This window comes from Homo sapiens, chromosome 19 (assembly GCF_000001405.40).
Source record: "Homo sapiens chromosome 19, GRCh38.p14 Primary Assembly".
Classification (NCBI taxonomy): Eukaryota; Metazoa; Chordata; class Mammalia; order Primates; family Hominidae; genus Homo; species Homo sapiens.
This window is the reverse complement of record NC_000019.10, coordinates 6,631,152-6,640,611: the sequence shown is the minus strand read 5'-3', so window position 1 is coordinate 6,640,611 and position 9,460 is coordinate 6,631,152. Positions and strand designations below refer to the sequence as shown.

The 9,460-nt window shown below is 47.0% G+C and overlaps 2 annotated features.

Moving 5' to 3' along the window:
• Positions 890–939: an enhancer, noted in NCBI's record as "active region_13853". NCBI's record gives its function as "activates an Ori minimal core promoter by ATAC-STARR-seq in GM12878 lymphoblastoid cells {active_cell/tissue: GM12878}" and the evidence as "EXISTENCE:reporter gene assay evidence [ECO:0000049][PMID:35858748]".
• Positions 8,959–9,460: an enhancer, noted in NCBI's record as "H3K27ac hESC enhancer chr19:6631163-6631664 (GRCh37/hg19 assembly coordinates)". NCBI's record gives its function as "activates a minimal SCP1, AML or CMV promoter by ChIP-STARR-seq in naive H9 embryonic stem cells {active_cell/tissue: H9 hESC(naive)}" and the evidence as "EXISTENCE:reporter gene assay evidence [ECO:0000049][PMID:30033119]".

The following is a 9,460-nucleotide window of genomic DNA, read 5'->3' as shown; positions in this document are numbered from 1 at the left end:
GCTAAGTTTTGTATTTTTAGTAGAGATGGGGTTTCACTATGTTGGCCAAGCTGGTCTCCAACTCCTGGCCTCAGGTGATTCGCCCAACTGAGCCTCCCAAAGTGCTGGGATTACAGGAGTGAGCCATGGCGCCCGGCCCAGATTCATTTGTTTTATAAGGAGACTCACTGCATTTGAGGACAGCTACTTAGGATTCTTGGTCTCTATGCCAGCCAGAAAATGAAGGTTGGTGGGATGAGCCACAGTTTACACTGCAGGAGTGGAGTCTAGCAGCCCCCGTGAGTGTTCACCCTCTCCCTCTCCCACTGTCCCTTCTAGAGTCCCTTCATCTTCAGGTGGCCCTTCTGTTGGTGTAGGTGGCTCACCTGGTGGGGTCACCTAGATCCTCATCCCTGAGGGATCTGAGACCTTGCTCACCATGTCTTTAGGCCCTTAAGGGCGACATTAATCTCTGCTATTCCACTGTGATGCAACCTTGCATTTGTTTTTGTTTTTGTTTGTGTTTGTGCTTTTGCTTTTGCTTTTTTTGAGACAGAGTCTCACTCTGCAGCCCAGGCTGGAGTGCAGTGGCACAGTCTTGGCTCACTGCAACCTCCGGCTTCCAGGTTCAAGTGACCCACCTGCCTCAGCCTCCCTAGTAGCTGGGTCCACAGGCACGTGCCGCCACGCCCGGCTAATTTTTGTATTTTTAGTAGAGTCGGGGTTTCACCATGTTGGCCAGGCTGGTCTCGAGCTCCTGGCCTCAGGTGATCCACCTGCCTTGGCCTCCCAAGGTGCTGGGATTACAGGCATGAGCCACCGTGCCTGGCCCAACCTTGCATTGATTTACTGTCTTGGTCAGTGAGAGGTGACAAGGAAAGTGATTTTAGAGGTCTCCATTGGTCTTATCCACAGGAAAAGTTTGCTGACACCTCATCTACTGAGTCATTTCCACATGCTCAGTGCTTAACCCAGATCATCTTAACCCCTGCGATGTTGATACTATGATTGTCCCCTAACTACAGATGAGCTAACGGAGGCACGAGGGAGTGAGGTCACCAGTGCAAGGTTCTTCAGCTAGGAAGTGGTAGATCCTTCTGGTTTCAGAGCCCTTGCCCTAACCCACTCACCTATATCTTCTGGGTGGATATATGGGCTGGTATCAGCCTATGCATAGACCCCATTTTATTATCTGCTCTCCTACTGATGGACACGTAGCCTGCTTCACAGTGTTATACGCAATGCAGTGATGAACATCCAATTGAGTGTCTTTCTATGCAGGTGGGCCCCCGTCACAGGTGCTGGGTGAGCTCAGATGAGGGTTTGGAGAAGGGTTTTGAGCCTTTGGGTGTTGACCTTTATCATCTCAGGATTTCAAATCCAGCCCTTTGCACCTGCTTCCCTTCATCTCCCATCTTTTCTTTGTTGTTGTTGTTGTTTGTTTATTTATTATTTTTTTTAAGATAAGAGTTTCTCTGTGTCGCCCAGGCTGGAGCACAGTGGTGCAATCTTGGCTCACTGCAACCTCTGTCTCCCAGGTTCAAGTGATTCTCCTGCCTCAGCCTCCCGAGTAGCTAGGATTACAGGCATGTGCCACCACACCGGGCTCATTTTGTATTTTTAGTAGAGACAGGGTTTCTCAGTGTTGGTCAGGCTGGTCTCGAACTCCCGACCTCAGGAGACCCTCCTGCCTTGGCCTCCCAAAGTACTGGGATTACAGGCTTGAGCCACTGTGCCCAGCTGTTTGCTTTTTTTTTTTTTTTTTTTTTTTTTTTAGATAGGGTTTCTGTTGCCCAGGCTGGAGTGTGGTGGTGCAACCTTGACTCATTGCAATCTCCGCCTCCCAGGTTCAAGTGATTCTCCTGCCTCAGCCTCCCGAGTAGCTGGGATTACAGGTGCCCAGCACCACGTCTAGCTAATTTTTGTATTTTTGGCAGAGATGGGGTTTTGTCATGTTGGGCAGGCTGGTCTCGAACTCCTTTCCTCAAGTGATCCGCCTGCCTCGGCCTCCCAAAGTGCTGGGATTACAGGCGAGAGCCACCGCGCCCGGCCCTCCCACGCTTTCTTCTCCATGTTCCTCTTTACGCTGCCCTCACCCCACTTCAGGACACTCTTACCAAAACTTGGCCCTGAGAACTGAATTGCCACAGTTTAGGGGCTCCTGTATCACTCTGGTCAAGTCCCTTCACCTCACTAAGCCTCAGTTTCCCCAGCTGTACAATACAGAAAAAAAATAGCTCATTCCTCACTAAGTCACTGGGAAGATTCAAAGAGATCCTGCATGGAAGGATAGTGATTTTAAAATAATTTAAGATTTTTTTTTCCATTCTTCCTTCTGATCCAGATCTCCACTCTGTCAGTTACTGGTTGGGTGACCTTAAGTGGCTGACTTAACCTTGCTGTGCCTCAGTTTCCTCACCTGTAAAAAGTGATAAAAGCATCCCCACTATGTCATAACTCATATTTCCCCCTACTATCTGGGTATCGTTAAAACAGCACAAGTGCTTAGGGTTTTTTTGTTTGTTTTTTTGTTTTTGTTGTTGTTGTTTTTTTGAGATGGAATTTTGCTCTTGTTGCCCAGGCTGGAGTGCAATGGCACAACCTCGGCTCACCGCAACCTCTGCCTCTCGGGTTCAAGTGATTCTCCTGCCTCAGCCTCCGGAGTAGCTGGGATTACAGGCATGTACCACCACACCCGGCTAATTTTTTGTATTTTTAGTAGAGATGGGGTTTCTCCATGTTGGTCAGGCTGGTCTCGAACTCCTGACCTCAGGTGATCCGTCCGCCTCGGCCTCCCAAAGTGCTGGGATTACAGGCATGAGCGACCACACCCGACCCACATGTGCTTAGTTTAGCAGTTCTTGGCACAAACTAGATGCTCAATAAATAATGGCCACTAGCTAGGCATGGTGGCACCTGCCTGTAATCCCAGCACTTTGGGAGGCAGAGGCGGGTGAATTGCTTGAGCTCAGGAGTTCAAGAGCAGCCTGGGCAACATAACGAGACCTTGTCTCTACAAAAAATAAAACTAAAAAATTAGCCAGGCATGGTGGCACCTGCCTGTGGTACCGGCTACTCGGGAGGCTGAGGTGGGAGGATCACCTGAGCCTGGGGAAGTTGAGACTGAAGTGAGCTGTGATCGCACCACTGCACTCCAGCCTGGGCAACAAAGAAAGACCTTGTCTCAAAAAATAAATAAAATTTAATTTAAAATTATTTTTAAAGCCAGGTACGGTGGCTCACACCTGTAATCCCAGCAATTTGGGAGGCCGAGGGAGGTGGATCACTTGGAGTCAGGAGTTCGAGACCAACCTGGCCAACATGGTGAAACCCTATCTCTACTAAAAATACAAAAATTAGTCGGGTGGTGGAGGGCGTCTGTAATCCCAGCTACTCCATAGACTGAGGCAGAAAATTGCTTGAATCCGGGAGGCAGAGGTTGCAGTGAACCAAGATTGCACCACTGCACTCCAGCCTGGGTGACATACTGAGACTCTGTCTCAAAAAATAAATTAATTAATTAATTTAATTTTTTTTTTTTGAGACAGAGTCTCACACTATTCCCCAGGGTTGGAGTGCAATGGCATAATCTCGGCTCACTGCAACCTCTGCCTCCCGGGTTCAAGTGATTCTCCTGCCTCAGCCTCCTGAGTAGCTGGGATTACAGATGCCCACCACCACGCCTGGCTTATTTTTTGTATTTTTTAGTAGAAACGGGGTTTCACTATGTTGGCCAGGCTGGTCTTGAACTCCTGACCCTGTGATCACCCCATCTCGGCCTCCCAAAGTGCTGAGATTACAGGCATGAGCCATTGCGCCCGGCCAATAAATTTAAATTTTAAAAAGTAAGGCCGGGCACGGTGGCTCACACCTGTAATCCCACCACTTTGGGAGGCCGAGATGGGCGGATCACGAGGTCAGGAGATCGAGACCATCCTGGCTAACACGGTGAAACCCCGTCTCCACTAAAAGTACAAAAAATTAGCTGGGCGTGGTGGCGGGCGCCTGTAGTCCCAGCTACTCGGGAGGCTGAGGCAGGAGAATGGCGTGAACCCGGGAGGCGGAGCTTGCAGTGAGCCGAGATCGCGCCACTGCCCTCCAGCCTGGGCGACAGAGCAAGGTTCCATCTCAAAAAAAAAAAAAAAAAAGTTGAAGGAAGGAAGGAGGGAAGGAAGGAAGGAATGAGAGAGAGGGAGGGAGGGAGAGAGGGAGGGAGGGAGGGACGGAAGGAAAGGAGAGGGAAGGAGGGAGGAAGGGAGGGAGAAAGGGAGGCAGCATATTTTTCCTTCCAGCAGAGGGGAAAAAACATGTTTCTCCTTCCCCTACAGCTGAAAAAAACAATTATTCTGCACCATGAAACTAGACTTGCAAATATTCTTTTATAGAAGAAGATTTGTATATTCTATACACCTGAACTTCACAGTCAGATGGTGTGTTCTGGTAAAGTAACTGTCAGTCTCTGAAATCTCTATAATTCTGCTTGATTTTCTTTATTTGTTGCCCTGGAAACACCATTGAAACTAAAATCTCTGTTTCTAAGAAAAGGCAGCAGGGCGCTGTGGCTCAAGCCTGTAATCCCAGCACTTTGGAAGGCTGAGGCAGGCAGATCACCTGAGGTCAGGAGTTCGAGACCAGCCTGACCAACATGGGGAAACACCATCTCTACTAAAAATACAAAATGAGCCGGGCATGGTGGCGGGCGCCTGTAATCCTAGCTACTCGGGAGGCTGAGGCAGGAGAATCACTTGAACCCGGGAGGCGGAGGCTGTGGTGAGCAGAGATCGCACCATTGCTCTCCAGCCTGGGCGACAGAGCGAGACTCTGTCTCAAAAAATAAAATAAAAAACTGCAAATACTTGTCAGTTTTGATTTCTAAGCCTCAGCTCTGTGGATATTTGGAGCCAGATTGTCCTCTTGGGTGGAGCCATCTGGGCACTGCAAGGTGCTGAGGAGTGTCTCAGGATCCTGCCTCCATGCCAGGATCACCCCCAGTTGTAACAACCAAAAATGTCTCCAGATGTTGCCAAATGTTTCCTGGAAGGACAGAATCACCCCAGTTGAGAACCACTGAATTCGATGATAAACACAGGCACATTTTTTGCCTATTTAAAGAGTCTGAAAGGCTCTGCTTCATTTAAATTAAGATTCCAAGCTGGATGCGGTGGCTCACGCCTGTAATCCCAGCACTTTGAGAGGCCAAGGCAGGGGAGTCACCTGAGGTCAGGAGTTCGAGACCAGCCTGGCCAAAATGGAGAATCCCTGTCTCTACTAAAAATACAAAAACTATTCAGGCATGGTGGTGCGTGCCTGTAATCCCAGCTACTCAGGAGGCTGAGGCAGGAGAATTACTTAAACCCGGGAGGTGGAGGCTGCAGTGAGCCGAGATCACACCATTGCACTCCAGCCTGGGCCACATAGCGAGACTCTCTCAAAAAAATAAAAATTAAAAATAAAAATAAATTAAGAAACTAGATACTGTCCTAATTACATTTTTATTCCTCCTCTGATCCTCCATGAGTAACTTAGAGAGAGTATATGATATCAATTCCTTTGATAGCGATGTGATTTATCACTCAGTATAAGGCCAAGCTTTGGAAATATTCCCTAAGCATTTAAAAATGCATCTATTTTTAATTATGGTAACATGTATAACATAAAATTTACCTGTAATCCCAGCACTTTGGGAGGCCAATGTGGGTGGATCGCCTGAGGTCAGAAGTTCGAGACCAGCCTGGCCAACATGGCGAAACCCCGTCTCTTCTAAAAATACAAAAATTTACCATTTTAACAATTTTAAGTGTACTCTTCACTGATATGAAGTATATTCACATTGTTGTGCAACCATTACCACCGTCCATCTCCAGAAAGTTTTTCATCTTGCAAAACTGAAACTCTGTGCTCATTAAACACTCACACTCACTCGCCATTCCCTCCTCCCCAGCCCCTGACACCCACCTTTCTCCTTTCTGTCTCTATAAATTTGCTCCATCATTTCCTCATATAAGTGGAATCATAACAGTATTTGCCCTTTTGCAGCTGGCTCATTTCATTTAGAATAATGTCTTCAAGTTTCATCCATGTTGTAGGATATATTAAAACTTCATTCTTCTTCAGGGCGGAATAATATTCCATTATATGGATATACCACATTTTGTTTATGCATTCATCCATCAGTAGACACTGGGGTTGCTTCTGTATCTTGGTTACTGTGAATACTACTCCTATGGCCACAGACGTAACAATATCTGTTCTCATCCCTGCTCTCAATTCTGTTGGGTATGTACATAGAAGTAGAATTGCTGGATCATAGTAATTCTATTCTAATGTTTGGAGGAAGTGCCATACTGTTTTCCATAGCAGCTGCACAATTTACATTCCTACCAGATCCTTAAGTGTTTCTTTTTTTTTTTTTTTTTTTTTTTTTTTGAGATGAAGTCTTGCTCTGTTGCCCAGGATGGAGTGCAATGGTGCCATCTCGGCTCACTGCAAACTCCGCCTCCTGGGTTCAAGCGATTCTCCTGCCTCAGCCTCCCGAGTAGCTGGGATTACAGGCACCTGCCACCACGCCAGGCTAATTTCATATTTTTAGTAGAGACGGGGTTTCACCATGTTGGTCAGGCTTGTCTCAAACTCCTGACCTCAAGTGATCCACCTGCCTCAGCCTCCCAAAGTGCTGGGATTACAGTCATGAGCCACCATGCCGGGCCACTAAGCATTTCTTAATGTGTTTCTTTGTTTGTTTGTTGTTGTTGTTTGTTTGTATGTTTGTTTGAGATGGAGTCTCCCTCTGTCATCCAGGCTGGAGTGCAGTGACTCGATCTCAGCTCACTGCAACCTCCACCTCCCAGGTTCAAGAGATTCTCCTGCCTCAGCCTCCCAAGTAGCTGGTATTACAGGTGCCCGCCACCACACCCTGTGGGCAGCAAGCCACACAGGTGCCGAGGCAAGAGACCGAGGGCACGAGCTGTTCCAGTATAATAAAGAAAATACATAAAATAAGAATACTTATACTAGACATAGATCATGGATATGATTATATATGAATATCATTAATTATTAGTTTGTAGCAATTACTCTTTATTCCAATATTATAATAATCCTTGCTCTACAATCATAACCTAGGAAAAACCAGGCCATACAGAGATAGGAGCTGAAGGGACATGGTGAGAAGTGACCAGTAGATAAGAGTGCGAGCCCTCTGTCACGCCCGGACAGGGCCACTAGAGGGCTCCTTGGTCTAGGGGTAACGCCAGCATCTGGGAAGACGCCCGTTGCCAAGTGGCCCGTGGTCTAGCGGTAGCGTCAGTGCCAAGGGAAAACACGGGCTACTTAGCAGACTCGAGGCCAGGAGTTTAGAGAAGACTCTGCTCCTCCACCTCTTGTGGAGGACCTGACATTAGTCAGGCTCGCCCGCAGTTATCCGGAGGCCTAACTGTCTCCCTGTGATGCTGTGCTTCAGCAGTCACACTCCTGGTCCGCTTTCATGTTCCATACTGTACACCTGGCTCTGCCTTCTAGATAGCAGTAGCAAAATTAGTGAAAGTACTAAAAGTCTCTGATATGATATGCAGAAATAATGGCGTAAGCTGTCTCCTCTCTCTCTCTCTCCGCCTCGGCTGCCAAACAGGGAAGGGCCCCCTGTCCAGTGGACACGTGACTCATGTGACCTTACCTATCATTGGAGATGGCTCACGCTTCTTACCCTGCCTCCTTGTCTTGTATCCAATAAATAACAGTGCAGCCTGGCATTCGGGGCCACTACCGGTCTCTGCGTCTTGGTGGCAGTGGTTCCCCGGGCCCAGCTGTCTTCTTTTATCTCTTTGTCTTGTGTCTTTATTTCTACGATCTCTCATCTCCTCACACACACAGGGAGAAAAACCCACCGACCCTGTGGGGCTGGTCCCTACATACCCTGGCTAATTTTTGTATTTTTAGTAGAGACCGCGTTTCACTATGTTGGCCAGGCTGGTCTCAAACTCCAGACCTCAAGTAGTCCACCTGCCTCGGCCCCTCAAAATGCTGGGATGACAGGCGTGAGCCGCCGCGCCTGGCCACAACAGGACATTTCAGTTCAGATCCACATTCCAAGTGCCATATAGTAACATATGGCTATTGACATGGAATAGCATGGTATTGAGTAGCACAGATTTGGACCATCTGCATTAATTGCAATTCTTCATACATTTTGAATTTTTTGGAGGAATTATTTGCCTCTTCCGTATTTCTGTTTCTCTCCTTCCTTGCCTTGTTTCGGATTTTTGTCTTATTCCCGTTTTTCTTCTGAGTTCAGAAATTATACATTTTATTCCTATACTTTTAGAAATTTTAATTTACATATTTAATCTATCAGAGTCTAACACTTTAAGTCTCTTGTCTGCAAAAAGCCTCCTACTCGGTCTCCCTGTATCCACTGGCTCCCCCTACAGGCCATTCTTCATACAACAGTCAAAGTGAGATGTTTCGTAAACGTTTTCTTCCATAGACAGTTGACGTTTGAACAATGTGGGGTCTTAGGTGCACCAACCCCTGAGCAGTCAAACGGCCACATATAACTTTTGACTCCCCCAAAGCCTAACTCAGCAGACTGTTAACCAGAAGACTTGCTGATAACATAAGCTGTGGATTATCACATACTTTGTATGTTACATGTATTATACACTGTATTCTTACAATAAAGTAAGCTAGAGGAAAGAAACTCTTATTAAGAAAATCATGGCTGGATGCGATGGCTCACGCCTGTAATTCCAATACTTTGGGAGGCCGAGGCAGGCAGATCACTTGAGGCCAGGAGTTCAAGACCAGCCTGGGCAACATGGCAAAACCTCATCTCTATGAAAAATTACAAAAAAAAATAGCCTGGCATGGTGGCATGGGCTTGTAGTCCTAGCTGCTCAGGAGGCTGAGGAGGGAGGATGGCTTGAGCCTGGGAGTTCGAGGCTGCAGTGAGCTATGATGGTGCCACTCCACTCTAGCCTGGGCAACAGAGCAAGACCCTGTCTCCACAGAAAAAAAAAATATCTCCACCTGGGCAACAGAGCAAGATCCTGTCTCCACAAAAAAAGAAAGAAAGAAAAGAAAGAAAGAAAGAAAGAAAGAGAAAGAAAGAAAGAAAGAAAGAAAGAAAGAAAGAAAGAAAGAAAGAAAGAGAAAGAAAGAAATTATCTCCACCAGCCAAATGTGAGAATTTCTGTTGTTTCTCATTCTGCCAAATCTTATTATTTCCCATATTTTATCCAGTTTTATTTAGGCATCACTGGCAAATAAAAGCTGTGTATATTTAAGGTGAGAATGTGATGCTTTGCCGGGCATAGTGGCTCACGCCTGTAATCCCAGCACTTTGGGAGGCCGAGGCGGGTGGATCACGAGGTCAGGAGATCGAGACCATCCTGGCTAACATGGTGAAACCCTGTCTTTACTAAAAATACGAAAAATTAGCCGGGTGTGGTGGCGGGCGCATGTAGTCCTAGCTGCTTGGGAGGCT